General features: G+C 52.7%; 1 protein-coding gene across 9 annotated transcripts in view, besides 2 other annotated features; it reads right to left on the reverse strand.

Moving 5' to 3' along the window:
* The window catches only part of LINGO1 (leucine rich repeat and Ig domain containing 1), a 207,874-nt gene that overhangs the window by 137,331 nt on the left and 49,576 nt on the right, over positions 1 to 20,967 (reverse strand). The gene's annotated exons all lie outside the window — the stretch shown is intronic.
* Positions 1,840 to 2,037: a silencer, noted in NCBI's record as "fragment chr15:78044539-78044736 (GRCh37/hg19 assembly coordinates)". NCBI's record gives its function as "represses an EF-1alpha promoter that drives an FKBP-Casp9 reporter gene in an ReSE screen in K562 erythroleukemia cells {active_cell/tissue: K562}" and the evidence as "EXISTENCE:reporter gene assay evidence [ECO:0000049][PMID:32094911]".
* Positions 2,957 to 3,157: a silencer, noted in NCBI's record as "peak2394 fragment used in MPRA reporter construct". NCBI's record gives its function as "represses an SCP1 promoter by STARR-seq MPRAs in K562 erythroleukemia cells {active_cell/tissue: K562}" and the evidence as "EXISTENCE:reporter gene assay evidence [ECO:0000049][PMID:32103011]".

Raw genomic sequence — 20,967 nt, forward strand, 5'->3', positions numbered from 1 at the left:
TAAAAGTGCCTTATAATTAAATTCATTTTCCAGTTATTTGTTTTACACACACACAGCCGCCCACACGCGTGCACACACGCACGCGCTCCAGTCCCCAGCTCCACATGGAGTAGGTGTCAGGGTCCCCAGCTGCAAAGCAGCCTTCTCCCTGCTGTTGCCTCTTCCTGGGAGTTCCGGTGCGTGCCTGCTTCTCTCCCTGTCTATCTCTCCCACCTCCTGGGCCTGCTTCTGGTCTGGTCCACCCACCCAACCCCTTCCAGAAGAATGGATGCCAACAATACGGCTTTTACCATTCCCCTGTGCTGAGCCTACTATGAGCCAGACACTTGACACCCTGCACCACCTCCTTTCCACCCAAAGATATTTTTTCACTCAATAAATATTTGGTTGAGTGCCAAGTATTTCATATACATGGTCTCATTTAATCCACACAATGACATTTATCCCACCACTAAACAAGTATTAGGTGAGCCCCTACTACGTGTCAGGGCTTGGTAAGTGCCAGAAATACTTTGGCCAATGAGACTGGAGCCTCTGCCTGTGAAGCCTACACTGAAGGGACTCCAGAGTCAGAGGCAGGGCCAGTCCAGTGGGAAAGATGCAGCTGGCACCTCTGAGTTGGGGCGAGGAGGAGGTCAGGAAGAACAAGGGCAGCGTGGAGGGTATTCCGCGGACCATAACCTGCTTGAGGGCCTGAGTATGTACCATCTCCCTCTCTGTGTCCAGGGCGGGGCACAGAGTGGGCACACCACCGTGATTGTCAGCCTAAACTGACCTGAGCCAGGTGTGAGCACAGGTGTGAATCTCTGCCTTTACTCATGCTATGCCCTCAAGAGGCCCCTCTCCCATTCAGGCCTCAGCTTCCTTCTCCGTAAAATGGGAGTCAATCCAACCCTGTCTACCAAAAGTAAGGGAATGATCCTTGCAGGGTGCCTTGACCTGTGCCTGGCACATGGTAAGTCCTCAGCAAGGCTGGCTGCTTTTAGGATCATTACCTTGAACACCATGACTACTGCTCCTACTATTATCTACCTTGCCCGTGGGGTTCACGAGTCACAGGTATGAGAAATTTAGAATACCAGAAAGCCTCACAGAGATGGGAGTGAGCATAAGACCTGTGATAGTTGGGGGCAATGCCCTGGGAAGAACACAGTGAAAGCCTATGGGGTAGGGGGGACACAGAGAAAGAGCACCTCCAGCCCATCCCTGGAGGGCTTCCTGGAGAAGGGTCAGTGCTTCAGGCCTTTCCATCCTGGCCCTCCCTCCTCTGATCACTTGGTCTGATCTTCAGCCCCTTCCCACTAGCCCCAAAGCCTAAACTGTAGGGTAAGGAGCACTTCAAATGCTTTTGCCTTTGAATCCAGCCATTCAACTGGCCCCACTGCCTCCCAGTCCCTGGGAGAAGTTAGGGAAGAAGATCTCACCCTTCTACGGGCTCAGACGGGTGGAGAGCAGGATACTTGAGCTCTAGATGAACAAGGCCCGAGCCAACAGCAAGGTAAGGCTGTGATCCTAAGTAATGAACATGAAGCCACCCACATTTCCCAAGTCCCCCCTGTGTGCCAGGTGCTTTGTTCCATCATCTCACCAAGCCCAGGAGCCGCCCTCTCACATGTGACCATGCCTCCTTCTTCAGAGAAGGTGACTCGAAACCCAGAGAGTCAGCTGTGTCTTGCCCAAGGCCATGAGGCCTGCAAGTGGCAGGGCTGGGGACAGAACCAGGATCTATGTCATCCCAAGGCCTTTCGTTACCCCATGCTGCACCTGTGCCAGGAAAACGCTGCTGGGGGACAGAAGGCCAAGGAGATAGCATCCCTGGAAAATGTTGGCCCTGCCTGCCCCAGCCCCTCTCATCCTTCCATTGTCTCCCCCAAGGTGGACTGCCCACCACACTGGCTCCCCGCAGAGCCCCACCACTCAGCCAGCGACAGGAGCCTAACAGTAAAGACTTTTGTCCTAAAAGTAGGCAGCTGAGCTAATTAGCAAAGGCTTTCTCCTTTCCTTGGTGAAGACATTATTTCATCATCCAAAGCCAAACACAGCCCCATGGTGTCCGGCAAACCCACTCAGGCAGCTGGCAAAAGCAACACAAATCGATGGGCAGCAAGAGGCCTTCTCCGGCCCAGCCTCCCCACAGGGCTCTGGGGCTCTGTCCCATCTTTTTGACAAATGCCAGGGAAAAGAAAGGAGCCTGTGTTGGATGGGAAAGATTACAGGTTGGGCAATAAGGCACAAAGGCCCCATAGACAACCACAGCTTATTGTCACTTCCAGATGGAATCAGCCAACCCTAGGTAAGGGAGGGAAGGAGAGGTAGGGGCTCGGATTCTGACACCAGAGCAGGCTGTAGCACTGTAGAGGGGAGGGGAATCCCACTGTGTCCCTGTGCTGGTCAGCCTTCCCGTGTGCCCACAGGACAGAGGCCAGCCCCTCATAGGGCACTGCAGACCTTCCCAGGCTCACTGCCACCAGCTGCCCTGAGCCCATTGGATGGACTTCTCACCATCACTCATACACAGACCAGCTTCATTCCAGCCCCTTCTTCAGCAACCAGCTTCCCCCTCCCTTCTGCCTCTCTAGGCTGGGTGCCACTTCCTCCAAGCAGCCTTCCTGACTGCTCCATCCTACAGGGACCTGCTCTGCCTCACATCTCTCAAGTACTTCTCACAGACACCACAAAATCAAGCACATACATAGTGTCATATTTGCCATCCCTGGCTTTCTCGCCGTTGTCATGGCTGTGGCTGTTGTTTCATGGGTCCCGCGTGCTGGAGAGAACAGAGACCTGACTGCCTCCAACTAACCTCCATCACCGAACCTGGTATAGAGGCAGACACACAGTAGGTGCTTGCCCAGTGTTTGCTGACCAAACACTAGGAAGTCCTTCTAAAGCTTCCTTGTAATGCAATGGGGAGTTCAGAGACCAGGGCTGTAGGTCAGCTCTAAAGCTAAGCTTCCGTGGGCCCTTGGATAAGTCACTGGCATTCTCCTGGCTTTGGTGTCTGGCTGTGGAAGTAGGACTTGGGTCAGAATGACCTGTGGAGGCTATGTTCAGCTGGGAGGAGACTCTGCGGGCCTGGCTGAGCCAGGCGCTGTTCATGGTGCTGAATCTGGGAGCAGCCCTCCCTGGGGCTGGTGGGCACAAAAGATGAACATCGTCATGGAGACAGAGGACTGGGGGTAGGGGGAGGGAAGTAGGGTGCAGCTGAGAGAGAGAGTTTATTTGGATTGCTGTTTCTGGGCACTGCCAAGGACTGTCAGCATGGGGCCGCTTGCTCACTCAGTCTGGTGGAGGAGGGTCAGCCTCAGCCATCAGGGAACCAACAGCCAAAGACACAAAGCCATATTGAGAACACGGTCTGAGGGAGGAGAGGGCTGGAGGCACACACACACCAAGTGTGCACACACAAACACACACACGATGTTTATCTAAACAACGTATGGCAGAGCCTTACAGGCGTGAAGTTTGCAACACAGAAAGTGCCCTCCTGGGCATTGCCACTCACCCAAAGAGGCAGGGAACCCCTTATGCACCCATTTAACAGAGGAAAAAAGTGAGGCTCAGCTTCTGGATCCTTCCCACTTCCAGTGAGTGAGAAGCTACTGCCCAGTCTCTTCCTTCTCCAAACCTTGCCAGGTGCCTGTCTTCATGACAGAGAAGACAAAGAAGGCATTTGCTGTGGAAAAGCAGGAAACAGGCCCAGAGCTGGGAGAGAGAGTGGGAGCAGGGATGGGGGAAAGGAAGAGCAGAAAGGCAAGGGGGAAGGAAAGGGGGAAAAGGGAAAAGGAGGAAGGGAAAGAGTGGGGCAGAAGGGAGAGGGAGGGAGCAGGAGCAAGAGGATGGAAAAGAGGGAAGAAGGGAAGGAAAAGAGGAAAGGAGGAAGGGAGGGAGTGAGGGGGGAAGGGGATGGCAAGAAGTGTGGAGGGAAGGGAGGGAGGGGAGAAGGAAGGAAGGGAGGAAGGGAAGAGTGGAAGGGAGGGAAGGAAGACAGATTCCCCCATTCTTGAGAAGCAGATCTTGGCAGGGCCCTGTGCTGGCCCAGCCACCGTCCGCTTCTGAATAATTTCTCCGGCAGAAACTCCATAATTATGGATAATAACAATCACTCTGATTTGCATGTATTGAGCACCTTTCAGCCCAAGTTCTCCAAGTGCTTTGCCAACATTAATTAATTCATTAGGCACACCCGCCTCCCAGGGACAGGGCGACAGGACGCTCCACCCAACTCAGCACAGCTGCCTCTGGAGTGCGCAGTGGGTGGCAGTCCCAGCCTAGGCTGTGCTGGGGGTTCTGGGGGTGGGGCTCTGAGAAGGAAGAGCCTGCAGAGTGGCCCCTCCAGCCCTAGGCCCTGCCTCTGGCAACCTCCTCAGAAGTCAGGGCTGCCCTTTGTGCCCCACAGTGCAGCGTCCTTGGCCTGGCCTATCAGAGGGCCACGGTGAGGGTAGGTCCGGTAGGCAGAAGATGGCCTAGCCCAGCTCTGCCCTCAGTCACTGAGGACCCTGGGAAATTCACAGGCTTCCACGAAACTCAATGTCTTTGCCTATAAGATGGGGCCTGGTGGTCTCCAGCTCCCAACGCTGTTGTGAAGCTTGAGGCAGGCCATGCAGGTAAGACACTTTTTGACTTATCTGGGGGCTGTGCACACAAAAGGTATGGCCTCTCCCTCTGCCAGCCACGTCTGTAGGGAAGGAGACCAAGCCACAGATGGATGCACAACTCCCTTGAGGCCAAGGCCCTCCTACTAGGACCAGACTGGAGCACAGCCAGGTCCCCACTCAGTTCGCTTCAGGAGCACAGCAACACCCCTCCCTCCAAAAGGCTCTTGGTACTCTGCTCCTGCCCATCCCAGGCCTGGCCCCATGCTGGCCTAGGGGAAGGGAGGTGACCCCAGGGATCTGATGGGGAAGGAGGAAGCTCCCCAGGCCAGGCACAGAGTCTTACTCAAAAGAGGGAACTCTGGGGTCAACAGGCTCCAGCCCCAAAGCAAGCTAAATATGAAGTCCTCTCTTCCAGGCCCTCATGGTAGAAATGAGGAAACTGAAGCATGGAGGGGAAGCAGCACAGGCTTTGGCGTCAGACCTGGAATTGAATCCTAGGACCAACATTGATTTGTGCTGTCACGCTGAGCAGGCCACTACCTCCCTGACCCCGCATTTCTTTATCTGTAAAATGAAATAATACACTGGGATAATGTGTGTAGGGTGGCAGGCACAGTGCTGCCTGCACTGTAGGGGCTTAGGAAATAGAGTTGCTATCATTGTTTATGTTACAGTTATACCTTCTGGTTAACACCTTCCCAAGGTCACAAGGAAAACTCCATAACCGGACCCCCACCTGCATTTCAGATATTTCCTGGGCACCTACTATGTGCTGGGCATTCTGCAGCCACCTCTCCAGCTCTGTGCCTTTGTCAGTGGCCCCACCCCACCTGGCTGCCTCCCTGTCTCCCCCACACTCCCACCTCCTTCCCGATGCCACACATCTGCCCTTGATGTTTCCTCCTTCCTCCCGCCAGCAAAGCTAAATTCCCCTTCAATCTTCCAAAGGCTGATCCAGCCCAATGTGGTTTAACATTTAACTGCTCCAAAGTTCTTCCTCATCCTGACTCCTCGGTGGGAGCAGGGTCTCCTCCCCATCCTGTCTGGACAGTGTGGCTCAGCAAAGGCTTGCTGGTGGGAAGTAGGGGGGTGGCAGGGTGTTGAGGCCAGGCTAAGGCAGGGCTGGAGAGGCTAGAGAGCCTCAGCAACAGGGAGGGCATGGGCCCAGGTACACGCAGAAGGGCCAGGCAGGCCCAGGCTAGACCCTGCCCCATCCAGCCCACTTTCTTCACTGCAGGGTCCTGATCTCTGCATCCCTCCTCCTGTGATCGCAGCAACTGACCCATCACATGTGGACAATGCTTTACAGTTATGGAGCCCATAACTCTCATTAAGGTCCACAAGGAAGACTGGGCCCAAAAAAGCTCGGACATTTTGACACCCACAGTCAAAAACATGTCCACACACAGAGGAATGACACAATCAAGCATGCATTCTCAGACATACACACAACACACACAATGACACACACTCACAAATGTGTTTATACATGGTTTCACAATACACTGACATACAATGACAGACAGACAGACACACACACACACACACACACACACACACACACATTCCTGCACACAAGGTACCATAAACATACACATACATACCATCAAGGGAGGGCCAAGCCGGGGCTGGGAGCCCAGGCTCAGCAGCCCTGGTTGGTGAGGAAGTGAACGTGACCATTTTCCCGCATCTGGCGTCTAACTGTCTGGCTTTCAATTACTTCTGCACATTTTCATCGCAGTGTTAAGAACATCAACATGCTAACTTGAAAGACAATTGCAAAGGTGTCACTTTAGGAGAACGTGCTCAGGGGAATGACCCTGAACCACCATGCCACCCACTCTGCCTCCCTAGAGGGCACTGAATGTCCCCACGTATATACACCCTGATACTCCACCGCCCCCCAATGCCAACGTGCACCACCTCGCACACAGACTCATCCATGTTCACACACTCATCCCTCAGGGACACCTTGGAGCTCAGCCTTGGGGAGGGGCCCCCACCTCTGCTGTGCAGGTTTCCCCACCCATACCTTCAGCCCCTACAGTCTGGGAGAGGCAGAGGGGCAATAGGAAATGAAGCCCAAGCCTGGGAAGGATCCCACAGTCTTTGGGCAAGGTTAGATGCTGGAGGCCCTACTGCCCCACTCCTTGGCCAAGCCACCCTGCCTTCCCCTCCCCACCAGTGTCAGTGTCCCTGATTCAAGGGCCACCTCCTCTAGGAGGCCTCTCTGGCTCCTCAGGGATCATCTTGGTTTGACATTTGAGACTTTGATATCTTTGAGATGGGTTTTCTTGGGCAGTCTGCCGCAGGGGCCCAGGCTCTGGTCTGACAGGACAGAGAATCTGAGCCCCCAGAACAAGAGTGGCCAAGGCTGGGCTTGTCAGGCACTGACCATGCACAGGGTTTGACTCCAGCATCATATGGGGGGTGGTCCACTCAGCCACAGAAATACTGAGGTGGCTGTGGGAACACCACAGAGGTGGAGGCTGGGCCCCCACAGGCTCACAGGGATTCCTTTCCATTTTCCTGCCTCAGTTCCTTCATTGGTCGATGGGGATACTGTGAAGACCAAGTCAAGGTGTCTTTTAATCTAAAAATATTAATACCACGTAGATGTCATGGTCTCATGGTATTTTCCTTGCAGGGTTCTATTCCCTCCATGGACCGTGAGCCAGAAAGATGTCATTTCAAGTCCCCAGATAAGAGGAGACTGGGTGCGGGGACAGGGCAAAGAGAGCCAGCAGGGGCAGGGAGTTGTCCTAAGGGACAGATGGAAGAGGAGGAGGAGAAAGCAAGGCACCATAGGCCTCCTAGCTTAAGCAAGGGCTGGCTGGAATGCCCCAGAACAGGGGCTCAGTCCCCAGCCCTGGCCCAGGCGCCAGGCATAGGCCCCCCATAAGGAGCCCAACCTCCGGCTCATTAGCCCAGACCTGCTCGTTAATCACCGTGGGCCGCCTTTCCCTGCCTCGGCTGTGTCAGGCCATAATAATATATGAAGAACACTCATTTATTCACCAACTTCCCACTCAGGAAAAATATATGACACTGTAGGAATGGATTTATCCTGACACCCAGCTTTCAGCAAAGTGAGGCTAATTTAAACATTTAAGTCAACAGCTCGCCCCTCCCTCGCCTCCCAATTTTTGTTTTAATGGTGGGAAGGTGAAGGATGGGAGGGAGGTTGAAAATGTGCAAGCCTGCATGGTTCGAGGGTTAGAGGCAAAGGAAAGGAAAAGGGGTCTTAGCCAGGCTCCCCTCTGGTCTCTCTCCCACCATGCATCTGGGCCTGTCTCTGAAATAAAATCAATGCAACAAGTAGGTACAGAAGAAAGAGCACTGGACTGGAGGTTGAGAGTCCGGCTTCACCCCTCACTGACTGTGCACCCCAAGGCGGGCGCTCCCCATCTGCAGGCCTCCGTTTCCTTTCCAGCTTCCAAAGCCAACTCACTTGACCTTTCTTGGGTATTTCCTCTACCCTGTGGCCCATCTGCAAGCTCTGAGAGGAGAATGGCCAAGACAGCCACCCTGGAAGAGAGAGACAGCTGTACCTGGGGCAGTTCAGAGCCAGCAGGGGCAGTCAGGGTGTGCTTCATGGAGGAGGCCAGGCTTGAGTTTGGGCCAGGAGGACAGCCAAGCCTCGTATTCTTGATGAGCACATTCTCTGGAATGAGATGCCTGGACTCAAATCCCTGCTTTCCCATTTACTCTGTGACATTGGCAAGCTGCTTACCCTCTCTGTGCCTCAGTTTCCTCATCTGAAAAACAATGAGACTGCCTCCTATATGGGGGTTTTGGGGGGATCAGATGGGGCCACCATCTATGAAAAGCCCCTCACACCATGCTTGGCACAGAGGAAGAACTGTGGCAATGAGAGGATCACCATTGTCGAGGAGGGGGCGGTCAGAAGCGGGGGGAGGAAAATAGTTGGGTGAGGTCCTGAATCTCCCCAGTGCTATCCCCACTTCAGCCTGGGCCTGTCTGAGGTGTTCCAGAGTGGGGTCCACTCCACTCAGCCCATAGGGAGCCCACAAGGCCCCTAACAGAGAGAGCACCTGAGACCAAACCACCCCACCCTCCCTGAGTAAGGAGTAAAATCAGGGCTTTCTCTGAAGACCTGGAAAGCACTTAACAGCAGGGCTGGCAAGTAAGTAGCAGGCACACAGGGGATGGGCATGTGACCTACGCAGATTAAATGCCCATGTGTGTGCAGCCACCCATGCACACGCACATGCATACCCACACACTACCTTGCACATTGCTTCCCCTTCCTTCACTGGCCTCTGGCTTGAGGTTACAAGCCCCCTGTGGCCCCTCAGCACCCTTGGGCCTGAGAGTGAACTGGCATGGAGGAGCGGTGTGGACTGGAAAGCTCTGCCCAGATTGAAGGCTGGAGGGCAGCTGGGAGGGAGGCCAGGGGCCCGCAACGCCTGCTAACTCCCCAACTGCCAGAGGCAACTCGGTCCAAGTGGGCCTGAGGCAGCAAGCTGTGGGCAAGTTTCTCTCAGTTTCCCCACCTGAAAAAATGGAGCCAATTACACTGACATCACAGGGTGGCTGTCAACAGTAAGTGAGGTTGTATATCGAAGCACCAGGACCAGTGCCCAGCACACCATAGGTGCTCAGCAAGCGTCACCTTCACCTCGATGCCCCTTCCCCTAACTTCAGAAGTGCAGGGGAGCTGAAAGAAGTATTTGTCTCATGCCCAGCTGAGAAAGGAGACCACATTAGACAGTGACGCACTGGAGCCGGCGACTGGGGAGAAAGGTGCCAGTTTACATGGGGGCGTCTACCTCTCTGTAAATCTTGCTCTAATTGAGTGTCCTATTAAAACATGTTGATTGGTAATACAGCTGTTTTAATAAAAGAGTCCCTGTGTTATTTTTTAAAGTCATAAGTGAACAAACATGCTGAGCGCTCTGCCCTGGCCACGGCCGTGGGGAGCCTGGCACCTGAACCACACCTATAACCAGGGCACTACTGCTCACCTGGTGCCAGCCAGGGCCCACCCCGGAGGGAGGGGATGTGGCCCGGAAATAAACTGCCAGGTCTCAGAGCCCCACTCACCGCCTCTCACAGTGGGCCTGGGTGACGATTCTAAGGAGGCGGCTTTTTTTTCCTCCTTAAAAGACAGCGCGGCAATGACTCATGCCTGTTTCCCTGCAGCAGCCGTGTTTCTGGTTGTCATTCCACACACCTGATGACTCTCTCCTCCGTGGTGAAGGTAGCAGGGTGCCTGCCGGGGTTGGGGTAGGGAGGGGAGGGGAACATCTAACAGCCCAGGCTGAATATGGAGAGGCTCAAGGAGGTGGGAGACCAGGGGGCCTCTGGAGTGAGCCCAGCCACTAAGGGTGTCCAGGCTCCCGTCCCCCAGCCCCACCAGGCTTCAGTCCCTGTCTGCAAATGCAGGGGCTGAACCAGCAACAGGGGTTACGAACTGAGCAGCAGAATGTTTTGTTTGGCCTGCTCAGTGGTTTTTTAAAAGATTAGAATCAGTTGCCAACTTTTGCAAATTACATAGGAATCTGGATTTCTGGTTTCTCTTGGAAAAGTTGAATCTGGCCACACAGGGCCTGCATTTATTTCCACATGGGAGCAATCCGCTGGGGCTGATGGGTGGCCCTCCAGTTATCCACGGTCCTTATCAACCTGCTTTGCTCATTTCCAGCCCCTTTGCCTGGCCCCTGGGGCATCTGAGTTTGAGACCCATAGGCTAGCTGCTCACTGGGAGCCAGCCTCCAGTTCTGAGGTTCCAAATATCTAAATCTCCCCCTATGTCCTGCCTGGGGCTGGAGGAACTGGGACACAGGAGGAGGAATAAGTGAGTACATCCTGGGTGCTGGGAAAGGAGGTGAGGGTAATAGGACTCACCACTGGGCCCAAACTGGGAATATGGCCAGAAACAGAAACCACAGAAATTTGCTAAAAAGCTTTATTTTGTTGTGATTGTTAATAAGTATCTTTTTTTTTTTTTTTTTTTTTTTTTTTGGAGACAAGGTCTCACTCTGTCACCCAGGCTGGAGTGCAGTGGCATGACCTCAGCTCACTGCAACCTTTGCCTCCCAGAATCAGGTGATTCTTTCGCCTCAGCCTCCCAAGAAGCTGAGACTACAGGTGCGTGCCACCATGCCTGGCTAATTTTTTTTTTTTTTGTATTTTTAGTAGAGATGGGGTTTTGCCATGCTGCCCAAGCTGGTCTCGAACTGCTGAGCTCAAGTGATCCACCTGCCTCCCAAAGTGCTGGGATTACAGGTGTGAGCCACTGCACCTGGCCCAAGTATCCATTTTTAATTCACATCTTTCTATTAAACCAAAAATTTGCTCCAGTGCATTGGGTGGGGCAATACAGGGACCCACCACCAAATTGTGAACACAATGCAAATTGTGAGGAACAAGGCCACAGCAGCCCAGTCCACAGGCACAGGACCACTTGCAAGCAAGCAAAGGCTGTCCTCACAGTCTTGCTGATGGCGCAGAAGTTGGGACAGGCATTCTTTATTTTCATATTTGGGGACATAACAACCAGTTTAAAGGGCTGAGTTGTAATTGTTCAAATACACGTAATGGGCTAAAGGGCTTTTTTCTCCGTGACTGTGCTCCTTTGAGTTAAGATGTCTAGACTACAAATGCCATTAATCTGGTCCAAGTCAGGCACAGGACATTCCAGGTAACTCATCTCCCACCATAACTAAGTGCTCAAAGGAGAGATTCTGACAGGAGTTGCAGAAGAAAAGGCCCCAAGGGCTGGGGAGCCAAGGCAGCTTCTCAGCTTCAGGGACATGGAGTGGAGTCCCCTCACTAGGTGTCTGTAGCCTCTCTGCAAGGCTCTCCTCTCCAGGGGAATGGCATCAGAAGAGATGACCCAAAGGAGCTCATTGAGGCCCTGTCACATGCCCAGCCCCTGGAGTCTCCATCCCTGGCATATAGCCTCTTTGAGCCTCAGTATTCCCATCTGTGGAGTGGACATGAGTGATGGAGTGAGGCCGGGATGTGATGTGCAACTCCACGCCAGGCCCTGACCCTTTCTGACCCCATGTCTCCCATCTCTAAAATGGGGCTTTATGACCTCTTGGGTCTTTTGAGGCCTAGAGTTTGATGATTCGGCCCTTAATTCACCCTGGCAGGTTTGGCTGCAGCCAGAACAGCCTGAGGCTTCCTGGTACTTGAGGGTGAAAGAGAACAAGGAGAGGCAGAGGCAGCATTAAGCAGTCCTTGCTGGGGGAAGGCACAGTGGACCGAGGCGTGGGTAGAAACTGTGGCATGAGGACAGTGTGTGCAGGCCAGTCTTTCAGGCTCCTGGCTATGGTGGTCAGGTCTGGAGGGTGGGGCCATGGTACACACCAAGCACATGTGTTTGCTACGCTCAGAGACTCAAATGCAAGAGCAAAATACAGAGTCTCATAGCTCCAGAGGAGCAGGCCGTGGAGAGGCCTCCTCCAGGAAGCCTATCCTGACCACCTTCTTCCCTGGATTGAGACCAAAGACCCAATTCAATTCCTAGCCAGGCCCTCAGAGTAAGATGGAGTGAGGCCCTAAGAGGAGCAGATACCTGCCCAAGGCCACTTGGTGGCCCTGGGCAGAGCCAAGGCTCTCTGAGGAGCCCCCTAAATTCCTGGGCTTCAAGGCTAAGAGATCTGGATTAGAGAGGGAAAGCACACAGGGGTCGAGGCTTTGAACACCAGGTCTTTGGCCAAGCGGGACCACCCTCCACCCAAACTCTCAGCCTCCTATCTATCTGGTGAATACTTTTCCACTTTCAACACTCAGTCCACAGATCACCTCCTCCATGAAGCCTTCCCTGACCCACCACCCGAGAGACAAACCACTTCCTCTTTGGGACCACCCGTGCCTGCCAAGCAGCCCCCCACACCTCTTCCCTGCCCCAGGGCTTTTGCTGCAATACATACTTACAAACCTACCTCCCTACAGGGCAGGGAGCTCCCTAAGGGACTGAGGCTGATTGCCCTCTGTCACCCCAGCACCAGCTCCAGGACTGTGCCTGGCACGTAGTAGGTGCTTACCAGATGTCTGAGGAACAAATGGAAGACCAAAAATGAGGAGCCATCAGAGAACTGCCGAGAAAGGGAGGTGCCCACCCCGCCCTCGCCCGGCTGGTGGAAGATGCAGAATTAAGCACAAGTTATAATTAAGACGGGATGTTTGAAGAGAAACATAATCCCCGTTTCTGTGGGATCGGCGGGCACAACAGTAATTAACGTCTCATTAACATTCGCCTAATTAAGCAGTTTATGAAAGTGTATGGATTTACATACTGCCACGCCAGGCTTGCTCAGGCGCCTCAAAATTAACCCCTCAGGCCTGGGTGTGCCAGGAGGTAGAAGGCCAGCCTGGGGCCTGGAGAGGAGGAGGGACAGGGATATAAGTGAGAAGGGGTTGGGGATGGGGATGGCCCCCTGACTCTGGGGACCCAGTACCTCCCCCAGCCCTCACCCATCCCCTCTCCCCAGTCACTGGACCAAGTCAGTTTCTCAAAAAGGACCTTTTACAAGGAAATGAAAGGCACTGGATCCCCTCTACCACCACTGCAGGCTTTGCCCACCCCCCACTGACTGACCCTCGAATATGTCCCCATGCAGCCCCACTGCTCTGCCATTCTCCCAGGTGCCCACCCTTCCCCCATAGCTCTCCTCAGGGAACAAATCTTCCACCTGAGAGCACCTTTCTGGCTTTAGGAACTCTTACCTGCATTATCTAACTCAGCCCTCCAGCTCCCCCAGGGCTGCATCTGCATCATGCCCTTTCTATCCAGGAGGAGACAGGCTCAGAGAGGTCCAGAGCCTGCCTGAGGGTCCGGAGCTGTTAAGAGGCAGCACCCAGGGCTCTGTGATCCCAAAGCCCCTCCCACTTCCCCAGGCAGCACAAACACCCCATTGCCAGCAAAAACACAGGGCTTCTGCCATGGGAAAAGGTGGCCGCTCATCCCCCCTTCCCCTGGACACTAATTAACCACCCTCCCCCAAGTCTCCTCAACTCTCAGCCCAGACACCTCGGCTGGAGCTGAGCTTGAATCAAAGTCACCTGTGACCATGGCGGGAGGCCTCAGTTCTCCAAAGGAGAACAAAGAAAGGGGCCTTTTAGGAGGGTGTCAAGGATCAAGTAACGCATTTTCCCCCACAGCACTTTGAAGCCTTGTGCACTGTATGCATTTTAGTTATTCATTAATTATCCCACTCCTGATCCCCACTCCGTCTGCGTTCATGCCCACCATATGTGCACCTGGGATGCCTGTCATCTCTCTGCCCCTTCCAAGGGCAAATTAGGACAACTTTTCTCAGTGATAATTTAGCCATATACATCAAGAGCCTTAAAAATGCTCATCCCCAACAAGTAATAAAAAGCATAAGCCATAAAGGTGAGAAAGTTGACTTTGTTACCATTTAAATCATCCGTTCAACAAAAGACATTACAACGGGAAAAGACAAGCCACAGATGGACCAGAAGAATATACCTGCAGCATAGATAGCTGACAAAAAAACTGTTTCCAGGCTATATAAAGAATTCTGCAAATCAATAAGAAAAAGACAAATCACCCACTTTTTTTAAAAGGCAAAGAATAGGAACAGGCAACTGGCAGAAGAGGAGCGCTGAAGGGCCAGTAAACACATGAGAAGGCTTGCTGAAGCTCAGCAGAGTTCCGAGAAATGCCACAATCCTTCACTCATTAAGTTGGTGGACAGCTAAAAAGCCAGAGAGTGCCAAGCATCGCTGGAGCAACACCAACTACTCATACGTTGCTGTTGGCCATGGAAGGTGATGCAAGCACTGGGGGGAACGATTTGACCTTATCTTGTGAAGCTGAAGATACATGTATCCTACCACAGAGCAGTTCCACTCCAAGAGTCTCCCACATGCACAAGGGGAATGTCCACAATGCTCACAGCAGCCATGTTTGTAAGAATGAAAAGGAGGAATGCTGCAGATATCCACCAGCAGGAAAGGAGGTCCATGTGGATGTGCAGATGAACCACGGCAGATTGAAGGCATGCATTGCATTTACCTCCACTTCCTTCCAAAACCCCATCACAACAGTGAAGAATCTTTTCTGTGCATAAATCCACAAGGACCAAGAATGAAAGAAGAGGAAACAGCAACATGGTTTTGAAAGTTGGAGAGCAGATGGATGAACGGTGATTTGTCTGGCAGAACTGGGAAAGCAGGCCTGGCATGGTGGCTCATGCCTGTAATCCCAGCACTTTGGGAGGCCGAGGGGTGCAGATCACTTGAGGTCAGGAGTTGGAGACCAGCCTGGCCAACATGGTGAAACCCCGTCTCTACTAAAAATACAAAAATTAGCCAGCTGCGGCGGTGCACACTTGTAATCCCAGTTACTCTGGAGGCTGAGACATGAGAATCGCTTGAACCCAGGAGGTCGAGACTGCAATGAGCCGAGACCGTGCCACTGCACTCCAGCCTGGGCAACAGAGCGAGACTGTGTCTCAAAAAAAAAAAAAAACCAGAACTGTGAAAGCAGAGTCCTAAGCCCCTCTCCTATTAACTGGTAGAATCCAAGCTCAGGAACTGGTAGCACCAGGCACCCCTAGACACAGGAATGAAAGACTGCTTGGAAGTCTGTATGAGAAGCAGACAGACCCCAAGGAGCTCCTTCTCTACCTCTGCCCAGGGAAGACTGGTAGTGAGTTTTTTCCAGTGGGGAGGATCAAACTGAGGGTCTCTGGCCTGGAAGGCACCCAGCCCACCCAGCCTGGGTGGAGAGTGGGGACCCATACTGAAAACTGAAGGAGTAGTTGAGTTTGTACGCTGAATTTCAGGTCCAGATCCCAGCCTTCCTCTCCCACTCGCTCCAGAAGAATCAGAGTCCTTCTAGGAGATGCTGCCATTGGGGCTTCCCTGTGAACTGGCCCAGGAAGATCAGCCATGGGGCAGCCATGGTTGACAGGCCCACCCCTGCACAAGGGACACCAGCCTTTAGCACCCCACTCCTAAATAGAAACAACCCACTGAACATCGTCAAGCATTTGGATGTCAGCTCCACCAGCTCAGGGACTTCTGACCATTTGTTCAGGGCTAGAGAATGGAGCTGGCACATAGGTGGTACTCAATAAATGTTTGCTAAGGGAATTAACTGAGGGAATCTCTAATATGAAAGACAGAGTTCCAAACAGGGAAGCAAACAGAAACAAAAGTGCAATGTGAAAAAAACAAGTGGCTGGGTCAGCCAGGCATGGTGGCATGCACCTGTAGTCCCAGCTACTCCAGAGGCTGAGGCAGGAGGATCGCCTCAGCTTGGGAGATAGAGGCTAGAATGAGCCATGACTGCACCACTGCACTCTAGCCTGGGTAACAGAAGGAGACCCTGTCTCAAAAAAAAAAAAAAAAAAAACACACAAACAGAGAGAGAGAGAAAAGAAAAGAAATGGGCAATGCAGACAGAAGGAACTCAAAAAAAAAAAAACCTATCATTTTCCGCAAAAAAAACTCAAAATATGGTATCCATGAATAAGAACTGATTGCAATACATTTTAAAGAGAATTGATATGATTTGGCTCTGTGTTCCCACCAAAATCTCACCTCGAATTGTAATCCCCATAATCCCCACGTGTCAAAGGCAGGGCCAGGTAGAGGTAATTGGATCATGAGGATGGCTCCCCCTTCATTCTCGTGAAGTGAGTGCGTTCTCATGAGATCTGATGGTTTTATAAGCATCTGGCATTTCCCCTGCTTGCACTCACTCTGTCCTGCTGCCTTGGGAAGAAGGTTGACTTCCGCCATGATTGTAGTTTCCTGAGGCCGTCCCAGCAATGCAGAACTATGAGTCAATTAAACCTCTTTCCTTTACAAATTACCCAGTCTCAGATATTTCTTCATAGCAGTGTGAGAATGGACCAATACAAGAATATTCACCAAATAAGAAAGAAGCTTTGAAATGTAATATTGATAAAGCAGAATTTTTAAAAAAAAATCCATTGGAAGGACAGATTGATAAAATTGAGATTTCCCAGAAAGAGGAGAAGATTTTTTAAAAAAGTGTAAAGGAGGGAAAAGATAAGGGAGCCAGAGTTCCCTCCAGGAAGCACAACATCTGGTTAACTGGGGTTCCAGAAAATGAGAAGAGAAAAACACAGAGGTTAGGAAACATGAAAGGAGCAATTCAAAAACTTTTCCAGAGCAAAAAACATGGATTTCCAATTTGACCCTCATCAAGACAGAGAGCACATAGTGAATTATCAGAACACAGGGAGAAAGAGAAGGTTCTAGAAGCTTCCAGAAAATAAAAATTCCCAGTAGCTTGCAAAGAATCAAATCTCAGAGCAACTGTGATTTCTTAACACCAGCACTGTAAGCAATGACTTTAGAGAGAGGGGCTCCTTTAAAATTCTGGGGGAAAAAAGATCTCCATTCGGAATTCTACACCCAGTCAGACTGTCAGGATTCAGGAAAGAATGAAGAAGTTTCCAGATATGCAAGGTCTCAAAAATGTACCTCCCAGGCAACTTTTCTGGAAGCTATTAGAGGGTGTGCTTCACAAAATGGGAGTGTAAACCAAGAGGAAGACGTGGGGTCCAGGGAGCAAGAGGGTCAATGCAAGAGTGGTGACAGGAATCCCCAGGGTCATGGAGATGGAGATCCTGCATGTCTGCTGCACAGAGGATGTCAAAATAAACCAAATCAGAGCAGCACAGAGGCTCAGGGAGAGAATTTCTTCAAGAAGGTAACATTGGTAGAGGCTTTCATGTATTATGTTGAGAGGAGTTGTACTCAACTGGGGAAAGTTGGGAACCGAATTAGTGATTTTCAAAAAGCCTCTCTCCACCCCCACTAAAAAGACAGTCATTAACTCCAGGGAAAACCGAGTTGTGAAGAAAGGAAAAGTAATCAGAGTACATTACATAGCTCAGCCAATCAAAAATGTGGGTGAGTGGGGTGGAAGCTAAATCCTCAGCTTACACAGTAAAAGTCAATAGTTAATGCCTGAAAAAGGAAAACCAAAAAGCAGCAAATAAGCCAGTTATTTAGACGTAGGGAAGTAAACACTCAAACAATCCACAAAAATTGTTGGAAGAGGTTGCTCCAGAGGAGTAGCAAATGGCCCAGGGAAGGACAGAAGACTGTGGGTTTGTGACAAAGCAACACAGTGGCCTCCCCTCCCCTCTGTGGGGCCACCCCGGGCTCCTAAACACCTGCTTTCCTGCCCTAACCTGCAAATGTTCACTGTCCTGTGTACACCCACCCACCAGGACCCCAGCCTCCCAGCAACCCCTGCCTCCACCCCTGTGGGGTTTCCAGGGAACACCTGGGCCCCTCCCCTCCCTTCTCATAAAGGGCCAGATGCAGGGTCCCCGGGCAGACAGGAGGCCCTCAGCTTCCTCCTCCCTGATTAGCGCCTCCTGAAGGTGGGAGTCTGCCCCCGCCAGAGGCCTCCTGAACTTTTCTTTCTATTTTTCATGTAACAAATATTTTTCGAGTGCCTCCTGCGTCCCAGGCACTGGGGACAAGACTACAAAAAAGGCAGCCAGCCACAGCCTCTGTCCTCACATTAAGCAAATAAAGCAACAAATACACATTGTGAGGAGAGCCATGAAGGAAGAGAACCAGGTCTGTGACAGGGGAGCCCTGGTTTACTCACAGGGACACTGGTGGGCAGGTTGGGACAGTGACAGAGACCTGCGTGCCTGGACTTGGAGGAGGGAGGAAAGGAATATATGGGGGAGAGAGGCTTATGAGTGTCCCTACCCCCACTCTGTCCCTACCTCCCGACTCTGTCTCTCTTCCCCTCCTTTGCTCCCCGCCCCTCTCAGCAGCCAAGCCCTGGGCCTGTCAGAGGACGGCAGGAGAGAAAAATTCACGACCCAGCCCTTTAATGGAAATCGATGCCCACTCACCAGGGTAATCTACACCCTGGATTCATCCCCCACTCAGGGCAGATGAGGCACTGCAGCCTTGCGGGGCAGCAGGGGTGTGGCCACAGGTCCCCCTGCCTGGGGTTTCTCTCAGCCCACTGCAGCCCCATCACTGCAGGGCCTTCTGCCCTGTCCCCTCCATAGAACCCTGCTGTCATCCCAGCCTCCACTGCCCAGGACCCTTCAATGGCTCCCACTGCTGTCAGGGACAATTTATGGGTCCTGGTGTGCAACCCTTACCTGAGTCTCTGGCCTCCCTGCTCCAGACCCTGGCCGCAGCCAGCACCACGCCAGGCTCAGGGCCACAGAGCCACAGAAGAGGCTATCCATGACAGGGTGGGGCCCAGGGTGGGAAGCCCCCATTGGCTGCCTAAAGGCAGCAAAGGCCTCCAGCGGAGCTGTGCCAAGGCTGAGGCTTAGATGAGCAGAAATTTGCCAGGAGCTCAAAGAGAGGAGGAAAACCCCACTCGTCCCATCCCCACCTCTGGCAGGGCCACTTGCCTTCTCCTACCTACCCACAGTAATTAGCTTCAAGTCCTGCCAAGGTCCCCCCCCAGCCTCCCCTGTGACTGGGCCCTTTCTTGCCTCCCACTCGCACACCCTGGGACGTGCTCTGGCAGACCTGATGGCTGATGGAGTGGCCAGGGTCAGCCAGGGAGTGAGAAGGCACGTTCCCATGGGAGGAGCTATCAGGGTCTGACTCTCCCCATATCCAGCCATACCCCAGGTTGAGCTGGGCAATGTCGAAGCCAACTGGAGGCAAGGATGGAGGCAGGAGGATTGCCATGGAGAGAGGCTGGGGGAAGACTGCCAAGCACCTCAGCCCCCACCCACCCCTGGGGGACAGGATCCCCACTCGACAGTGCTGGACGGCTGTTTATCTACTCACCTCATGCCCCAACCCCACCCCATGGACAGAGGCATTCCCTGGAAAAGGAGACGGGGAGGGAGGACCTGAAAGAGCAGCCATCAGCAAGTCTCTCCCGGTGCGGGTACCTCACAAAGACCTGCCATGTCCTACACGTGCAGCAGACGTGAGCCTGTGCAATTCTGAGACCTGATCTGCCCCATTTTCAGGTGAAGAAACCGAGACTCAGTGTGGTTTTGTGACTTGTCCACAGAAACACTGCAGTAAATGGTGGGCCAGGACCTGGGGCCAAATATGCTGTCCTGGGGAGCTCTTCTTCCTGGGGTCCACCTGAGATGGGGGTCCCTGGGATAGAAAGACATAACTTGGGGCCTGAGTCCCAGGAAGCAAACAAGCCTTAGTGCCCTCAGCTGGAGAGGGGGACCCTGTGGTGTTCCCAGGCTCACTCCAGAGCAGCAGGCTCCGAAACCAATGCCTTCTTTCCAAGGAGAGACCATACTAAGTACTAGGCACTGGGTGGGGCTCTACTGACTGGATCTGGTTGAATCCTCACCACTGCCCAGAGGAGTGGATTGTTGCTACCACTTAAAGATGTGGCAACTGGCTGGGCGCGGTGGCTCAAGCCTGTAATCCCAGCACTTTGGGAGGCCGAAGCAGGCAGATCACCTGAGATCAGGAGTTCGAGACCAGCCTGACCAACATGGAGAAATCCCGTCTCTACTAAAAATACAAAATTAGTCAGGCGAGGTGGTGCATGCCTGTAATTCCAGCTACTCAGGAGACTGAGGCAGGAGAATTGCTTGAACCCAGGAGGTGGAGGTTGCAGTGAGCAGAAGATCGTGCCATTGCACTCCAGCCTGGGTAACAAAGCGAGACTCTGTCTCAAAAAAAAAAAAAAAAAAAAAAAAGATATGGAAACTGAGGCTCTGAGATCTTAAGAAAGTCACCTAGGCCTCACTCCACGAAGAGGGGGTTTAAATCCAAGCCTAACTCCAGATCCGGGGACCCTTCAGGACACAATGCATCCTCCTCACTTCAGCAGGAATCGACAGGCCCTTCCTAAGCCCTAAACTGGCCAAGGCCAGGGACACAGGAGAAGGGAACTCCCAGCCTGGCCTGGCAGGCTGCCATCCAGGGCCGGAGAGAGCACCCAGATGCCCACCGCCTACCTGGCCTCCTGCCTAGGCCAGTCAGGGAAGTGGGCGCGGAAGCAGTGGGCTGGTCCACATCTTCAGGACCCTGAGTAGTGACTGTGACCCTTCTCGGGGCTCAAATCACTCAGAAAGCTGAACCCCACCTCTGACACAACACCTCTCCACACACCAGCACCTCAAAGTGAGGCAGGGTCAGAGAGAGGAGAGGTCAAACAGAGATGGGATAACAGCATCACAGACCTGGGGGAGGAGAAGTCCTTCTCGAGGGAGAGTTGAACCCGCAGCTCTTAAGGTTCCTCCCGACCTTCCCCTGGACCTCCAAGTTTGTCTGGGATTCTAAGATATCATGATCCTGGGAATTTTATATTTGCAACCACTTTTGAGCACTGACTACACATGCAATATCATTACAGCATCACATTCACACCTTTCCCAACTCCAGCAGGACATGGCATTATTAACCCATT

The sequence above is a fragment of the Homo sapiens genome, chromosome 15, assembly GCF_000001405.40.
Source record: "Homo sapiens chromosome 15, GRCh38.p14 Primary Assembly".
NCBI classification, from domain to species: Eukaryota; Metazoa; Chordata; class Mammalia; order Primates; family Hominidae; genus Homo; species Homo sapiens.